The sequence below is a fragment of the Homo sapiens genome, chromosome 6, assembly GCF_000001405.40.
Source record: "Homo sapiens chromosome 6, GRCh38.p14 Primary Assembly".
NCBI lineage: Eukaryota > Metazoa > Chordata > Mammalia > Primates > Hominidae > Homo > Homo sapiens.
In genome coordinates, this window is record NC_000006.12 from 71875551 (window position 1) to 71894500 (window position 18950).

Here is an 18950-nt window from a genome sequence, read left to right on the forward strand (position 1 = left end):
ATGTGAGACTTATTTTCTCTGCATCCTTGCCAGTATTTGCCACTGTCACTATTTAAATTTTAGTTCTAATAGGTATGTAGTGATATCTCATTGTGGATTTAATTTTCATTTCTCTAATGACTAACAATTTCGAAAAATAATTAGGTTTTTTTCTTCTTTTTCTTTTTTTCTTTTCTCAAGCTTATGGTCAACCAGGAGATAAATGATCAGCTTTGATTCAAATAAATTTGCTAGGTTAATATTTCTGGTTTTCCTTAACATACCTTTTCATTATATGATACTCTTACTTCATGATTCAAATAAATTTGCTAGGTTAATATTTCTGGTTTTCCTTAACATACCTTTTCATTATATGATACTCTTACTTCATAAAAGAATTCTTAAACTCTGTTAAATTCTGCCTGCCATATATTGTTCACTACCTTTTTGTACTTTAGAATGTTGGAGATTTCTAGATCCTTAAACACTACTGGTGAAATATGTAATTTTACAAAGTAGGAAACTGAGGCCTCGGAATATTAAGTAATTTGTTCAAGATCACACCATCAGTGTGGAACCAGAATCCAGACAACCAGTCTCTTGGTTCAGTACCCTTTTTCATACCACTGTGTCTTGTGAAACTGTATGCGTGTAACCACACAGGTATGTGTGGTTGATGAATGGTTTTAGGTTTAATACTTCTTTAGCACCTTAGCCTTCCAGTACCATTAATTGAAAGAATAATAAAACATCACATATCATTATTTAAACTTACACAGCATTGCAAGTTCCATCTAGCTGGATCCCTGGGGACATACAAAGCTAAGGGAGTGGGGATAGGGTGACCAGGGATAAATAGGGTAGATGTAAAATTCAGTCAGTAGAAAGGTGAGTGGAGCCTTTGAACTGCTCAGTTTTGAAGATAGAGAGAAATAGAGAGAAGTAAATCTAGGGAAAAGAGAATACCTTTAGAAATGGATACTCCCATGAGGTAATAAACTGGGAAAAACTTAACTGCTTGATAGCTTTTCCTTGAACTAAAATAAGGTCACATATAGCATTCAATTTAAATTCCTTCCCTTATATTTTGCAGTTTGCTTTGGTTCCTACTATATTTTTGATAAAGTCTGATATATTCACTGCTATGGTCCAGATGTTTGTGTGCCCCCAAAATGTATATGTTGAAACCCAGTCCCCGATGTGATCATGTGAAGAGGTGAAGTCTTCAGGAGGTATATCATGGAGAGAGCCCTCATGAATAGGCTTGGTGCCCTTAAAAAGAAGCATGAGGGAGCTTGTTTGCTTCTTCTGTCTTGTGGGAATGCAACAAGATGAGACCTTCAATGAACCAGAAGATGATTCTCACCAGACAACAATTCTCCTGTCACCTTGATCTTGGACTTCTCAGTCTTCGGAACTCTCAGAAATGAATTTATGTTGTTTATAAGCTACCCACTCTATAATATTTTGTTGTTGCAGCCCAAATGAACTAAGACACTCACCTTGATAAAGTCTGAGATACTCTCCTAACTCTCTGTGGAGATGGTAGATGGAAATAAGAGTCAAGACCAGGTGAAAATGGCCTTATCTTTCTTACCCCTTCACTATAATGGTTCTGAAGCACCATAAACCAGGATGCTGAGGGTCTGTAATCTCCAAGTTCCAGTTGATCTTGAGGAAATTGTGCAGTTGGCCATGGCAGAGAGAAGATAAAGACGGCCAGAGAAGTAGCAGGAAGCAGGCAGTCCAACTAAGAGAATACATGAGACAGCACACTCTGCTTGCTTCCCTCTTCAAAAATACTAGAGGGAGATAACCACATGAGGAGAAATCGGATTTTATATCACTAAAGAAGGAATTATGTAATATCAGCTGAATATGAAGATAAGTAAAACTCAAATCAGACTAAAACATAAAAAATAAGGTATCAGTGGATTTTAGGTATCCAATTTATCAAAGAACTGTAGAGAGTAATGGTACTTGTAGTCAATAAAGGGAGATTTGAATTGGGGACTTTTGGAAATGATACAGTTTATACCAGAGTCTAGGGAATGGCCATGAAAATGGATGCTGAATGGAGTAGATTTGAGAAAATTGAGATATGCAGTGATCAAGGTATTAGATGGATCATCTATGGGGATGTTGAATATATTTCCCATGAGAGCAGATCTTGGGGTGAAAAGGAAGACTGTGAACTAAAGTCTTTGGTAAATGAGATCAGGGCGTGGTAGAACAATTCTGAAAAGGAGAAAGGGGTGTATGCAACAGAGTAGAACACATTGTACAAATTGGAAGGAGAATAATAATCTGAAAGCTGCACTACTTGAGGGACCAAGGAAAATACTTGGTCTATCTCCTGGTGCTGTGAAACAGAAGATGAAGGACAATGATCTACATCAGTCATGCTAATATAATAGAACCCCAAAGGATATTAATAATGCATACCCATTGTTAGAAGAAAAAATATGATAATGCATCTAGAACATTTAACAAAGGCCAGGAACATTTAATAGGCTCAGTACATGTTATTACTTTTATGCAAAAGCTGGGTATATTTAAAGGAAATATAACTTTCCATCTTACAGCTAAGAAAATTCAAACTCAGGGAGATTAAGTGACTTGCTCAAGTCTGTAGGCCTGATTAGTGCCTGAATAAGGAGCCAAATCCCTGTATTCCTCTATCAGATTTCCTCTTTGCCTGCAAGGGCTGTGCCATTATGGATAGAAAGGAGTTTTGTCTAGGGCTTCTTTGTGTGGGGTTGGATTGCCCATCTCAAAGTAGACAGTGGAAAAGAGGAAAATAGTCAAAAAATCTTCCCAGGAAACAGTCTCAGGGTTTCAAATTAGAGCATTCTAGGACGGAGTGTTTATTTAAATCTGATTTTTAAGTATCTCTGTTTAAATCAAACATTATTTTAATAAAAATATAATTAATAAAGATTAAATCTAGTAATTGTGTTTTCCAACTTACTAAAAAACTAGTGCTTATGAAATAATCTAGCCTTAGAAATTATTACCCAAATCCATTTCCACTTAGGAAAGTGAATGTTTTTAGCTTTTTAGATGGTAAAGGTAACATTTTCTTTTAAAGTCAATTTAATATGTCATATTCTCAAGCAGAGATCCATCATAACTGGAGAAGAATCTTACTCAAAAGCTGGACTGGGGAGAATGAGCTCAAGACTTTGGCACTTCAGCTGGGCTCAGTGGCTCACCCTGTAATCCCGGTACTTTGAAAGGCCAAGGTGGAAGGATCCCCTGAGGCCAGCAGTTCGAGACTAGCCTCTGCAACATAGCAAGACCCCATCTCAATACATACATACATACATACATACATACATACATACATACATGCATAAAAAGTCTTTGGCACTTCAGTTCATCCAGCATTAACTTGCAGAAGACACTCTCAGAAGACTAAAGCCAATAAATTGTTAACATATCTAAAATGAAGACTCTTCATATCAGATAAAATCAAAATTAAATAACTCACAAGAAATTAATGAATGCAAAAAAAAGGAAATTGGAAGAGAATAGAATGTGGAGAAATTATTCTAAAACATTGCCAATTAAACATGGTAAGTTTGACTAATATGGAAGGTGATCAGCCTGAAAAGAATGCACAGAGGCTGTGAACTCTGATTTTGAATCAGGAGACAAGTATTGAAGAAAAATACCTCAAACTAAAAATAGCTAAGAATGTTAATCCTTGGAGGAAGTATATCCATGGCTGGTATGACCAACCAGAAAAGAACAGAATTATGTCCCTTATTCTAGGTCCAAGGACAAAAACATTCCCACTGATTGAATTCCTCATGAAATAAATTACAATAGTGGAAACTTACCAAAAATCAGATTAAAATAGGTATTTGGCTGAATTTAAGCCAAAATATGATATCTAGTTTCAGCCAAATACATTCAGTGAAATCTCTTCAGAGCCAAATGTTCTTTGAAGCCAAAAGCCTGTATTTTTGCAAATTACTATAACTGTGTATAAATAGGGTGGCAATATAATCTATCATACAAACTAGGACACTTTTAAGTGAAAGGAGGTGCTGCTGATAATTAATGCCAGTACAACAGGGTCTAACTCAGATGGTCCTGGAAAAATCAAGACATATGATTACCTTATATGTTAAGCATTTTATTGTTTAATATATTATGGTGGTGCTCACAAAAGAGTGCTGAAAAATCATAGGTGGATGTGATGATAACTTAAGTCAAAACTCTAGGATTTGAGTTCATTGGTTAGCCAAGATTCCATCTCATTAGGTATTGCAGACATTCTGAAATAATTTATTTCAAAACTTTCTAGAAATTAAAAACAATTATAGCTTGTGTGTACAAAATCTTGAAACCACAAATCTGTTACTGGCTTATTTTTTGGAGTAGAAATTAATTAGTACCTTGTTCTTAGTTCTTATGTGAATGTGCATGTGTGCACAAATTTCTACTGATTAGACATTAATGGAATCTTCACTTTTCCCATCATCAAGAGAGCTGCAAAGCCCCTTTCAGTCTTCAAGCCAATCTTTGATAGAATTTTCAAAAGAAAAAGAAACATTGCTTTTTTAAATTTTAGGGGAAAAAATTGGCCAGAGAAATCAATTAACAAATTAAATTCAAACATATTTCTCCTTTTGAAAGTTTTGCTGCTGATGATGATAGTAATGATGATGATGACAAAATGATGATGAAAGGCTCTTGATATCCCTAACTCACCACCTGTTCCTTCTCAGCACACACCCAAATTCCCCATCTCACCATATGGAACTACGACCAACTGACTTACTGCTCGAACCAAACAAGGAATCGTAATTGATCTTCTCTTCATACACTCCATGCCTCATCACTCAACAGATCTCCAGGCTCTATTTGCAAAGCACATCTTGCATGTGTCCACTTTTCTCCATTCATATCACACTACACCAGCCCAAGCCACTTTAATTTCTCCTAACCAGAGTTCCTATTTCTGCACTCCTTTGCTGCCACAGTTTTCTTGCCACCCACAGAAGGTATAATCTTTTCCAAAATGCAAAGCGTATCGTTTAACTTCTTACTTAAGCTCTTCAGTGGCTTCCCATTGTACAAGAATAAAATTTCACTCCTTGACCTGGCTGACCAGGCCCTCTGCGAGCTCATCTCCTGCCATTTTCTCCTCCCTTCGCAATGGTCCTGCCTCATTGGCCTACTTTCTGTTCCTCCAGAACACTACTCTTTCCTGACTCAGGGCTTTGTCTTTAGCTTTCCTCTGCTTGTAACACTCCGTGTTGAGCTCTTCTTAGGCTAGTTCCTTTTTATCCTTCAAAACTCTGCCCTACAGGACCCCTTCTTAAGATTTCCATGGCTACCTATTTTCCCAACAGTTAGGCTTTATTATATCTGGCAAGTTTTTTCTGGAGTAATTATTACACACTAATTGTTCTTGTGTGTTTATTTATTTATGCCTATTTTCTCCAATTTCATTGTCAGCATCTAGAGCAAGGGTCAACAAACTTTTTTCTATAAAGAGGCAGATTGTAAATATTTTAGGCTTTATGAGACATATGGCTTCTGTTGCATCTGCTCAACTCTACCCCTATAGCATGAAAGCAGCTGTCGACAATACATAAAACAATTGGTGTGGCTGTGCTCCAATGAAACATTATTTACAAAAAAAAAAAAAAAAAAAAAACAGTCATTTGGCTAAATTTGGCTTGTAGGCCATAGTTTTGTCAGTCCTCTGTAGGGCCCTTATATGCTTTTTTCCCTACCATATCACCCTCAGCACCTCACACAAAGCAGGTGTTTGGGAAATACCGAAAGAATGAATGAATGGAGTTCCTTCTATTTTCCAAGCACTATATACATATTCACAACCTTTCATCCCTACTAAATCCCTGGAAGCTAATCATTTTTATTTCCATGTCACAGAAGAGTAAAATAAGGCTCAGAAAAGTTTATGAATTCATCAAAACTTACACAGCTATTGCATTAGTTTCCTAGGGCTGCCATAACAAAGTACCCCACACTGTGTGGCTTAAAACAACAGAAATGTATCCTCTCACAGTTGTTGAGGATAGGAGTCCAAAATCAAGATGTCAGCAGGATCATGCTCTCTCCAAAGTCTCCCGGGGAGAATGATTCCTTGCCCCTTCTAGCTTCTGGTGGCTCCCGCCATTCCTAGGCTTGTGACAACATAACTCCATTTTCTGCCTGTGTCTCCACATGGCCTTCTTTCCTTAGTGTCTCTCTGTGTCTTCATATGTGGCCTTCCCTGTGTGTCTGTGTGTTCTTTCCATTTATAAAATGCCAGTCATTGGGTTCAGCACCCATCCTAATCCAATATGAGTGCATTTTAACTATTTTCAATCTGTATGGTCACTTTCTGTGTTTCTGGATGAACATGGTTTTGTAGGAGGGATAGTATTCACTCTGCTACAGCTATAAAGTGGTAGTGTGAGGGTCTGAACCTAACACCATGTCAATAATTTTTTATTCTGAAGTTATTACCTCAGCTATTAAGTTAAATTAACAATTAACAGTAGTGTCAAACTTTAGAGTTATTTTGAGAAAAGATGATGTGAGAGCATCAGTGGAAAGGAGAGCGAAATACCTACCTTTCAGGAGCTTTGTGTATGTCATAGTTTCTGACTAATATCCTAAAAATAATGTTACTGTTGAATTTAAGGGCATTTGATACATATTTTATGACTAGAGATTTAAGATGTGTTTCTACAGATATCATTGGTTGAACAAGGATAATCACATCCAAAGTTTCCTGTTTCTTTGATTAATATCTTTGCATACTAGGCCTGTAACTCAAGGTTTTTCCCAAAGCTTGTCTAAAGCGTGTTTCCTCCATCAGGGAAGAACATAATTCTATGGTCTAATCCATTTGGGAAATGCCAAACCAAACCAGGTAAGACAGATTTCTTTCCTGCAGTGAATACTTGCTTGTTAGCATTGTTTTTATTTATTAAGGTGTAAGAGAGAGGTATTATGAACATTTTTCCACACTGATTGAGCATTTTCAGAAACTAATCTGTGCTACACACTTTGGCACACCTACTTTGGGTATTTGCTCACTTATCTAAGTGCAGATAAGTTCTCTTTTTCTGGAGGTAAATCTGTGAAGACACTTCTCTTGGGTTTTAGAAATTGGTTCTGAACCCCTCTGTAATGGATGAGATTCCTGATAGAAGAGGAGACACTGATGGGCTGAATCAAGGCTCTACTAATTTACTCATTTACTCATTCATTTATGCACTCATTTATTTCACAAAGACACATGGAGCCCAGGGAAATAACTATAAAGATGACTGAGACATAGATTTCTCTTCATTAAGTTATCCAGATAATACACATCAATCATCATTTCTTACAGTAATTTTAATGAATGGAAACCACATATTATGGACTGAATTGTATCCCTCTCAAATTCATATGTCTGAGTCCTATCCTCCAGTACCTTAGCATGTGACTGCATTTGGAGATAGGGTCCACATTAAAGAGATAATTAAGGTTAAATAAAGGAGGGTCCCTAATCCAATAAAACTAGTGCCCTTATAAGTAGAGGGAGAGACACCAGGGATGCATGTGCACAGATGAAAGGCCATGTGAGGACACAGCAAGAAGGTGGCCAAAACAAGCCTAAGTAAGAGAGAGGCCTTGGGAGAAATCAAACCTGTTGACACCTAGATCTTGGATTTCTAGCCTCCAGAACTGGGAGAGAATAATAATTTCTGTTATTTAAGCTACCCGGTCTGTGGTATTTTGTAATGACAATTGGAGCAAATTAAAGCACTGCTGTTACTTGTTCATTAGGTCCTTGACTTCAAGAGCTTTCCTCAGCTAGTTCTAATGTCTACTGAAGCTTTATAATTCCTTTACTTGTATTTTAGAAGAATTTTATTAGAACCAACTAGATTGTAAACCTCTTGAGAACAGGGAATTTGTCCATTGTATCGCTGCATTTCCTGACTGACTGACAGAGAGAAAAGCATCTGGTAGAACAAATATGTCATCTACATTTCTACTTCCTTCTGTATATTAATAATTGAGGGATGACCTAATACATCTCTTGGAAAGAGAAAGAAATAAGAAAAAGAGAACTACAAAGTGTTAAGCCCATAGTTAGATGCTTCACACGTCTTCTTATTTAATACTTTTCTTCTATTGTGAGATAAATATCTTTATCCCCATTTTGCAGATGAAGAAACAGAGTTCAGAGAGGTTAAGTGATTTGGCCAAGATCATAAAATCATAAAATGTCAATGATTGCTTAATTATAGGAAAGGGGAAATCTGGCTGTACAGCAGAGCTTATGAAAAATAACTGAAACTTTTAGTGGACTACATGTTTATTTCAGTGACATTCTTATAAGTGATATGGCCATCAAAAAGTTAGAGCAATATTAAGTTACACAAATAAAAATAATGACTATACTGCGTTATTGGGCATTCACTAAATGTCAGGCACTGTTCTTGGTTACACATATTCTTGATACATATTCTGGAAGGCTAGTGAAAAAAATTTAAGTGTCTTCAAAGGCAGATGACCAAATGATCAGTCTTTAAAATGAGGCTATACTGGTTGGATAAACTGTGAAGATTTACTCTGGAGAAGATTGAAGAGGACATGATAACTGTGTCAAATATTTGAAAGGTTTCCAGTAAGAAGAGGGAGTTAGATGTAGCAATGGAATTCAGAGGAAGTGAACCTTCCACTACTGAAAGTATTCAAATAGATGTGTCCATGTAGAAGCAACTCCTGCATTTTATGGGAAATCAACTAAAGTCTTAAGTTCCTTAAACTTGAAGATTTTAAGATTAATAAATATCATCATCCTAGTCATTTTCTTCTCCATTAACAAAGTTAGGCTTGGAGGAAAAAAAATGAGTGCTGACTTCCTTCTGGAGCTATTCTAAACAGCAAAATAAACTATCATCAAGGTGAACAGACAACCTACAGAATGAGAGAAAATTTTTGCAATCCATCCTCCTGACAAAGGTCTAATATCCAGAATCTACAAGGAACTTAAATAAATTTACAAGAAAAATAACAAACAACCCCACTAAAAAGTGGGCAAAGGACATGAATAGACACTTCTCAAAAGAAGACATTTATGCAGGCAACAAACATATGAAAAAAAGTTCAACATCACATCCTTAAAGAAATGCAAATCAAAATCACAATGAGATACCATCTCATGCCAGTCAGAATGGCTATCATTAAAAGTCAAGATACAACAAATGCTGGTGAGGCTGTGGAGAAATAGGAACACTTTTACACTGTTGGTGGGAATGTAAATTAGTTCAGTCATTGTGGAAGACAGTGTGGCGAGTCCTCAAAGACCTAGAACCAGAAATACCATTTAACCCAGCAATCCCATCACTGGGTATATGCCCAAAGGAATATAAATCATTATAAAGATACATGCACATGGATGTTCATTGCAGCACTATTCACAATAGCAAAGACATGGAATCAACCCAAATGCCTGTCAATGATAGACTGGATAAAGAAAATGTAGTACATATACACACCATGGAACACTATTCAGCCATAAAAAAGAATGAGATCATGTCCTTTGCAGGGACGTGGTTTGAGCTGGAAGCCATTATTCTCAGCAAACTAACACAGGAACAGAAAATCAAACACCATGTTCCCACTTATAAATGGGAGTTCAACAATGAGAACACCCGGACACAGGGAGAGGAACACCACACACTGGGGCCTGTGGTGGGGCACAGGGAGAGAATCAGGACAAATAGCTAATGTATATGGGGCTTAATACCTAGGTGATGGGTTGATAGGTGCAGCAAACCACCATGACACATGTTTACCTATGTAACAACCCTCCACATCCAGCACATGTACTCCAGAACTTTAAGTTAAATTAAGTTAAAAAAATAGCCTAGGAGAGAAACATATCAATTCTCTCATCATCATTGCTAAGGAGTCTTGACTAGGAAATTGTTGTTCAATTTAAACCCTTTTCTATATTGATTCTTTTATAATTATATCAAGAAAATTCAGTCTCCAGGTTTCAAAGCTGATAACATTACCTATTTTGAAAAGATTGCCTATTTATTTCTGCCTTTATCAGCAAGAGAAGCTCATCCTTAATGCCTATCATTGGGCTAGGCATTAGCAGAAGCTTCTTAAATACAATAGGATATGGTTGAGTGTTTTTCTTATCTGGGATCAGTGTTTCTTGGGAAGTACCTACAGAGATACTCTGAACTACATGTGAGTGAGTATGATGATAGCGAACATCATTAGAGGAATTAGAGTAGATAACTCATGTGTAAGCACCAGAGAGCAGTTATGTGATGTGATGGGGCTACCTAGAGCCAAAAAACACAAATTAAAGATTTACCGTGTTGTGGGGCATCTTGATACACTGCAGAACAGTCCTAGCGAGGACGGGTCAAGAAAGACACTGCATTGATGAGTACAATATACCCAGAAAATCCAGGCTGTTGGAGGATGTGTGTGTGTGTGTGTGTGTGTGTGTGTGTGTGTGTGTGTGTATCAAAAGCATCCAAAAAATCACATTGTTGTGGCTGTGAACACTTAACTAGTAAATAAGAAAGACACGGTGGCAGGGAGGAAAAAGAAAATGTATCCACAGGGTGTTCCATTCTGCTGTTCAGAACATTGTGGTTGCTCAAATAATATTAATGCTCTATGATGAAGATGGTAGCGAGGATGATGATGATTAATGCGACCCATGCAAAATAGGGCTGGGGAGGATGACATAGGCGAGGGACCAGAAGAGGGAGGATGACTCATGGGTGAGGGGTACCTGGGGATAGAGCGAGGTGCTGTGCACGTTGGCGACTGTAGGGGTAGCGGCCGGGGCACGCGTGGCTCGGACCCGGGGAGTGGGCGGGTGGGTGCCCGTGGGCGGAGCGGCGCCGGGACTGAGTGGCTGGCAGCTATGTCTGCGAGAGCAGCGGCATCACCCTGGATGGAAGCCTCTGAGACTCCGCCTAACTGACACCCAAACTCTCCCTCTCCCTCCCGCAGCCCCAAATTGGAGGCAGCAGAGCCTGGGAGCAGCCTCCACGGCGGCAGCGGCCGCCCCAGTCCCAGCCCCAGCCCCAGCCCCAGCCCCGCCCCCGCCCCGCGCCCCGCCGGAGACGCCCGGATCGGCGGAGCCTGGCGCGAGCCCTCGCCCCCTCGCCTCTCCCGCCGCGCCTCCGCCTGCCCGCCCCCGCCGGCCGAGGCTGGGCTGCGGGAGGCGGCCGGGCGGCCCCGAGCTTCGCTAGGGCGACCAAAACAAAGGCAGCATCCGGGGCTGGGTGGATGCAAACAACCATGAAAGACTGGGTTCTCGCTCTCCCCGGCTCTGCTGCTGCTGCTGCTGCCGCCGCCGCCGCTGCTCCTCCTCCTGCCGCCGCCGCTAGGGCTCCGCTGTGAGGGGGAAGCAGGGGCGCAGCTGCTGGGCGTGCATCCGAAAGGTGAGAGCCAGAGAGCGAGCAGAGGGGGCGGGCAGGCCACGAAAATGTCCTCGGCCGTGGGGCCCCGCGGTCCTCGCCCACCCACGGTGCCTCCCCCCATGCAAGAGCTGCCCGACCTGAGCCACCTGACCGAAGAGGAGAGGAACATTATCATGGCAGTGATGGACCGGCAGAAGGAAGAGGAGGAAAAAGAAGAAGCCATGCTCAAGTAAGCCAGCCCCAGCCGCGCCATCCATGCCTCCGTGCCTCCATCCGTCCATTCACCACTCACTCCCCTAGTCCTCGCGGCTGAGTGTGGGGAAGGGGCTGCCAGGGTGCTGGGTGCGGACGGAGGCGCCCGCCTTGGGCCAGGGGCGCGGGGCTTGAGCAGGGAAGAGGTCAGGGGACCGGAGGAGGGAGGGGATATGCCACAGATCCAGGAACCCAAAGGCCGGGGGAGGATGACTTGAGACTGGGGTGCAGAGGAGGGATGGGTGGACGGGGGCCACGCTCGTGGTGGGAAGTGCAGAAGCTGAGAGGTGCTGATCCCACCCAAGTGGAAGGTCCCTGGGCTGGGAGCAGGTTAGGGGGCAGGGGATGAGTAGAAACAAGGGGAGGCAGGATGAAGAGGTGCTGAGGACAGCTCCTCTTCTCTTCTTGGAGTTGTTTAGCTGGTCGGGGTTACCCCAGTGAAGGCTGCCTATATTTATATAATAAAAATGCTTATTTTTAGTGTTCATTTTAGTAATCATTCATCTCACAGATCAAGGTTGGGTCTTTTTTTGGGCAATTGCCATCTTTGGTAACCTGCCTCCCCAGCTTCTCTTTAACCTTTTATTCAGAGTCTTCTACACAGCATACCTGTGTGAAGACAGATTCTCTTCTCCATATGTAATGCCACTGGCAATACAAAGTTTTTAATCATGGGAGAAGCTGACAGGGACTCTGGCCTGAATAACATAGAGGTTCCTCTTTAGTGGTTTCCAAGAGACCTCTGGGGCCTGTTCAGTTCCTGGAGGAAACAGTCCAATAAGGGATTGGGAATTTGCACTCCTCCTCACTTCTTTAGAGCGCATCAACCCTTCAAGGGATTTCTGTCTGATGCCCCATTTTCCTGGTGATGGGGAGAAGATGGGACTACTTGCTGGTGGTGCAGGAGTGTGTGACACTGTGCTGCTGCTTGCCTCAGACAAAACTGCTTACAAGGGACTGGCAGAGAGACGGGGCTTTCCTTGCTTAGCATCACCCATAGAGTAGAGCTGAAGGAGGCTTCAACCCTGCCTTTTCTTGGGAAGTCTTCATGTATTCAGGAAAGTTTTCACTCTGAAGCAGGGGAATGTAGGGGCCCTGACTGTGACTGACTCCTTGGTGTCCCCTGCTTAGGCTGGAAGGTGTATCTGGGGCCAGGGGATTGGCATGAAGAGCCAAAAGGAACCTGTTGCATCTGGAGTTACCTGATAGCAAAAGAGGGGTGGGGAGGGAGCAGGGGTGAAACCCAGACACAGAGCACATTCTGCATGGCCTCTCCCCCACCCCCTAGAAGTGCCTCCTCGAGAGAAGATGCTGCCGAAGAAGATTTCTTCTGCTTCCCCTCAGTGCAGCAGTGCCTCATAGGAGAGGAATGGAGGGAGGCTGCATTCACAGACCGATGGTTCCCCAACCAGGGCAACTGACACTCAGATAGGGGAGGGGGATACTGAGGGAGAGATGTGGCTGTTAGGTCACAGCAAAATAGTAGAAATCCAGTCATTCCTGTTCTTTCATTGTAGATTCAGAAAAGGGCCATTAACTCCGAAGGCCAGAGCTGGCCTGGTTCTATAAAGAGCAGCAGGTTTCTGAATTCCCTGCTCCTTCTCATCCAAAAATCAAATACTTTAAGCCTGCCGGCTTGAGGGAGGCAGAACCCTCGTTAATCTGCTGCCTGTCCCTAGTGGAAGAATGACGTCCCTGGTGCTGCAGGCTTCCCCTCTTCTGAGACTGGAAGTAATGGATGGTGTCTGATAGTGCTGCTGTCTGTCTGTCTGGTTGTCAGTCCGTCTGTACTCACTGGTTACAGCCCCTGCCACCTGTCCTGAACACCTTTTCGGCTTGTCAGGATTTACAGGTTTGCTGCTGTTCCTTTTGCTGTTTGCTGCAGACAGCAGGTGGATGGAGGCCTCCAGTAGCTAGTGGAAAATATAGGCTGCTGCTTGCCAGAGTCCGGATAGGAAGGGGAAGGCACGGTGCAAGTAGTGGCCATCATGCCTCTTCATTGGCTGTCTCAAGCATGGTGGAGAGTGAGGGATTTTAAGTGGGAGTGGGTGAGTTTTAGGACAGAATTCCAAACCTGCTAACTGCCAAAGGACAGCAATTATAAGATTGTATGGGCTTATATGGGCAAATAAAAATTAGGAGCACTGTCCAACTGCTCATGTCTAACACATCTTTTCCGCTGCTTTTCCTGTGACTGCTTTCTACTGGCTTGCATATATTGTTCCTTTGTTGCATGGATTCACAAAATATCACTGTATATGATGCTGTTATACAACAGCTCTCTATAATCCTGGACCTCTGTATTAACTTTATCCATCAGCCTCCTCTGCTAATGTCTTGGCCTTTTGTTCAGTGACAGATTGGTGAGTGTTTTGGAATCCCAGTTTGCTGCCATGTAAGCATGTCATATTGTCTGCAATTAGTGGAAAAGTGCTGTAATTTTTTTTTATAGGGGACACTTTATGTCTTAAAAACTGGGGATAATGGGAACTATTTAGATGACACATATATATGAGGACATAATGACACATAGTCATAGATGGTGGCCTTTTTAAAACTTTGTGTTAAAATAGATTGGAAAACAGGATTCTTTTAACAGGGCTTTAAAATATTGTTACATCAGAGAAAAGTTTTTGTGGTAATTATGGGTGATCATAATCACACATCTGAGAAATTACTTTCACAAAACGCTCTACAAAGCTTAAGTTCTGGCAATACGGCAATTAGACTTAAAATTCACTTGTGTTATTGGTGCAGAACTATCTCCTTAAGCTACCTACTGTGCATGCTGTCTCTTTTCACAATGTATAAAAATAGGCGCAGAGAGAAAATAGAAAATGATGGATGAATATGTGAAACCAACATTATAAAATATCAATTAAAATGTATTTGTAAGTTTCATCGGCCTTGATTGTAAATTACTAGTTGAATTTGGCTTTGAGAATGTCTTTAAATATGTATAAATGGAAAAAAATCAAGCTACTTTAAAATCAAGATTTTAGAAGATTTTATTTGAAATTGAAAGTACTTTATCATAAAAAGAATTCGTTTTGTTGGCAAAGTACACTAATTTTAAGTTTAATGGCCATATAACTGGAAATAGTTGGCTCCCACAAATTATGTTTAATGATTGACTTAATTATCTGCAAATTAGAGGTCTTTTCTTAATCTTAATAGTGTTTTGGATGTGAGTGTGTGTGTTCTGAAGGCTTTCTGAAACCTAACTTTCTCGATGAATACTCCTTCAAGTAACTGTTACTAGACATCATGAGCCAATATATTACATAGGCTGAAAACTGCATTATCTGGGACCTAAATCAGAGAAGATCTCATTAGATCTAGGATCTTACTCCTTTTTGTAAAAAAAAAAAAAAAAAAAAAAAAAAACTTCATAGAGAAAGCAGCTACTGAATAGTAAGAGAAGAGAAAAAATGTAGAGAGTTAAGGCGATGGTTTGAGGATGAGAATCGAGTACCATATTGGAATATAATGTAAATAGGTAACATTTATTGAACATTAACCTCACACTAGCTCTTATTTTAAGTTATTTAATCTAATGCCAAATAGTTAAACTGTGCTCAAGTTTATTATAAGTATAAATATTTGGATTCTCACAATAGCCTGTGCAGAAGGTAAACCAAATAATATAATTCTCACATCCTCACACTACCCTCAGAGAATTTAGTAATATCCTAAACTGACTCACATAACATGGTCCAATCATGATTCAAAATCAGACCTTTTAGTCTAAATCCAAGTATTTTCCCGTACACTACACTGTCTTCCTACCAAGAAGCAGCCTATATTTCATTTATATTTTCTTTAAATGAATTTATAGTCTTTTCTCAGTTGCAGAGAAGTGGCTTGGCAAAAAATTAGGCTGATTCAGATCAGCTGCTGATCACAGCAGAGCCTGGGGCTTCACCTATACTCTTTCATAGAGTGTTAGAAGGTAATAAAAAGCATCACAGTGTAGTGGAAAGACCATTAAGTTTGTATCCGAGTGTTTTTAGGTTCTAGTTCTAGTTCTGCCACTTACTGTGCAAACATGGGCAAGAAAATTAAATTGAGATTGTATGAAGTTTCATTTTTTTCCTACAAATCCTTCAGTCCATGGTATGAATTGATTTATAAAGAGTATTGACTTTGGGCTTCTCCTTCTCTTCTTAACAGGTCACCTAGCATTTGCTTTCTAATCATCCATAATTACTACTTTTTTCCTGGAAAGGAGAGAGAAAGTAGAATGAGAAGAATTCCTGTAACTTCAGCTTTCCTCCTCCTTTTACTTACTTTACACAAATATAATACTGTGGCCTGAAATATATCCATAAGGTTCATTATGAGAGATCCCAGTTACCAACTGGGAAAAGAAGAAAAGTGGAAGGAAAATCTGGGGAACCTTGAGGGGGATGAGGATAGCGTTCCTATGTATGCAGGTATCATATTTTCATTAGGGTTTGAAAAGATTTTAATATCTTACACCCCAAAATATGAAAAAGGCATTATTTAAGTAAATACATTACTAAATTAGAAGGAGAATATGGAAACCAGTGTGGGCTGGATGTGCTACTGCTGACTTGACTAATAGAAGCATAATGTCTTGGGAATGTTATTTGCTCAACTTTTTAAACGAGGAAAACAATTTTTGTAAACTTGTGCAGTGAGCTTCCTGGAAAGATATCAAATATGAATTCCTAAAATCATATTATTATCCGCCCATACCTGTAATAAGCAGATGGATGAGGTTGCAGTACCATGGCTTATAAAGTCAATTGTATTGCATTTAATTTGTCCTCATGGGCTGTTTTCTACTTTTATACATTTGGTCCTGTGAGTTGGGTATTTTAGAGTTGGTCCTGAGAGTCAAAGTAAATTTGCCTGAGGCACGTGGCAGCTAGCATAATGAATCCAGAATCCATGTACACTGACCTCAAACCATTATTGTTCTTTTAAGTCTTTAAAAAAGTGCATTGAGTGCTGGCTATTATGATTTGTTTCCCTCATCTGTTGGAAAGGAAACTAACATTTATCGTGTACCTTCTATGTATTATGCATTTGACTGGATGCTTTACAAATTTTACTCACCCAGGCTCACCTCTTGAAGAGAATTCTAGCCTGTGAGTATTTATTAGTTTTCCAATGTTAGTGAAATTCCCAGAACTAGCTTGGCATCTTCCTGACCCTTTGCTCATGACATTTGATTCTGGAGTCCAGAGAACAAAACTTAAAGGAGTGAGAGAGGAGCTTCATGTGGCTAGTAACATGTTCCACCCTTTTCTGAGGGTGGACTCTCCAGAACTGTCTGGCTTCCGCAGTTCTGGCCCCAGGTGACTCTCTAACCCCATTTGTACCTGGAGTTTTCCTTATCTGCTTGCTGTTTTGCCCACAGGGTTCCCTAATACCATAGCATTTTCCCACCATTCCACCTAACCATGAGTTATCTTTGTTTGCCACTATTGTTCTGAATTTTATTTATTAAATAGGCTATTTCTAACAAAGTGTCATATGATATTTAATTCAACAAGACCATTGTTTCAGGTATTAGAATTAGGTCAGGCATTAGGCTGCTGGGGTAGAATAAAGGCGAATCCTCTGCTTACAGCCCAATGTTGGCTGAGTTCCTATCATTTTAAAACTGCCGTAGTCAGAAAAAGAGGTGAGTGCTGGATAGTTGGATAGAACACTGGACTAGATTCTGGTCTTAACATTATGACTTTTTATAGGTGTGAACATTGTCAAGATAATCCATCCAAGCATCAGATTTTATATGTAAAGTGGAATTTATAATGGCAGTCCTTCTAATCTGTGAAGCTTTAAAATGATAGTGGAGTCATCATATCCTCCAAATTGCTGTTTCCAAGAAAGGTGCCATTATTATGCTTATTTGTTAAAACTGTAGAACACCAAGATTATATTTTCCAGTAGTCTTTGAAGGTACTAGGGGGCTTGGGAAGATGAGCTCTTGGAGAAGAGCCCACCTATCCTTTCATGCTAGCAATGCAGTGTTGCCAGGGTTGCAGCTCCCAGTGTGAGAATTTGACAAGGAGTTAAAAGGTAAAATGAGTTCAGGGCTTGGTCTGAGACTATATTTACCTTCTTTCTTTTCTTTTTTTTTTTCCCCTCTCATTAAATAGCTCGTACATGTTTTTAGCACAAAAAGCAATGTGGGCAAAGTGATAAAGTTTGAAAGATCTAAAAGGCAATCCTAATTCAAAAATGAGAAGAGAAATTAGCTTGGGGTAATTTCCTCATCTTTTACAGAAAAAAATTTGGAGAAATACAGTAATAATTTTAGTGTCACTGGGTTTAATAAATTCTTCATTTTCAGAATTAGCTGAATAAGGGGTCATGTATATTTGTCAGGTAGTTTTCTTTCATGTCAGTTTACCATTGAGTGATGTAATAAATTGCATGTGTTTAAGAACTTTTTAAGATTCTTTATTGGATGCCTTAGGTTTTCTGTATTTATATTCTCACATTCTTACATCGAGTTTATATACACTTATTTTGACTAGATTACTTTTCTGTGGACAGCAAGAGGGGGTTATTCTGCAGAATTGATTTTAGATGTTTCTGCTTCTGTTGCAATATTGTGAAAACTTCCTGTTCATACGAATGCTTACTTAAAGGCAAAATAGAGCTGTTTAAAAGGAAGGTGACTGTACATGTTGATTTTCCTTTATCTGTTTATACCAATTTCCTGCTATTATTATGTATGGTAACCCCTTCTCTCAATTTTGAGTTTCAACCCGGATGACAAATTATATTGTCTTCCTCTTTTTAAATCTTGCTTTCTCTTCCCCAAATTCTTCATTTATAACTTCAGAAAATCAAGCAATTAACAGTGTTAAAATATATCTCAACAATAAGTAATGCAAGCAAGTGGTAGATATAAAATCTTGATCATTGTTTGGTAAATGGAGAACACTTTTTCTGAGAATGAGGTATTATCAGCCAGGCGTGGTGGCTCACTCCCGTAATCCCAACACTTTGGGAGGCCAAAGCGGGTGGATCACTTGAGCTCAGGAGTTTGAGACCAGCCTGGCCAACATGGTAAAACCCCGTCTCTACTAAAAATACAAAAAATTAACCTGGTATGGTGGAGTGCACCTGTAATCCCAGGTACCCAGGAGGCTGAAGCAGAAGAATCGCTTGAAACCAGGAGGCAGAGGCTGCAATGAGCTGAGATCCTGCCACTGCAGTCCAGCCTGGGCAACAGAGTGAGACTCTGTCTGAAAAAAAAAAGGAAATAAGGTATTCTCTTTTATGGAATCTCAACAGAATGATGCT

The 18950-nt window shown here is 40.0% G+C and overlaps 1 protein-coding gene across 25 annotated transcripts in view, besides 2 other annotated features; it reads left to right on the forward strand.

The window, feature by feature from the left end:
• Nucleotides 11000-18950, forward strand: part of RIMS1 (regulating synaptic membrane exocytosis 1) — a 516596-nt gene continuing 508645 nt past the window's right edge. For 22 of the 25 annotated variants that reach the window (NM_014989.7, XM_017010517.3, XM_047418419.1 and 19 more), the window contains exon 1: nucleotides 11000-11637. In NM_014989.7, the coding sequence (NP_055804.2) occupies nucleotides 11474-11637 (164 nt within the window). In that variant the 5' untranslated portion in view covers nucleotides 11000-11473. The remainder of the gene's footprint in view (nucleotides 11638-18950) is intronic. The other 3 variants (NM_001350413.1, NM_001350411.1, NM_001350412.1) reach the window with 1 other exon arrangement.
• Nucleotides 11128-11277: a silencer, noted in NCBI's record as "silent region_17327". NCBI's record gives its function as "represses an Ori minimal core promoter by ATAC-STARR-seq in GM12878 lymphoblastoid cells {active_cell/tissue: GM12878}" and the evidence as "EXISTENCE:reporter gene assay evidence [ECO:0000049][PMID:35858748]".
• Nucleotides 11398-11487: a silencer, noted in NCBI's record as "silent region_17328". NCBI's record gives its function as "represses an Ori minimal core promoter by ATAC-STARR-seq in GM12878 lymphoblastoid cells {active_cell/tissue: GM12878}" and the evidence as "EXISTENCE:reporter gene assay evidence [ECO:0000049][PMID:35858748]".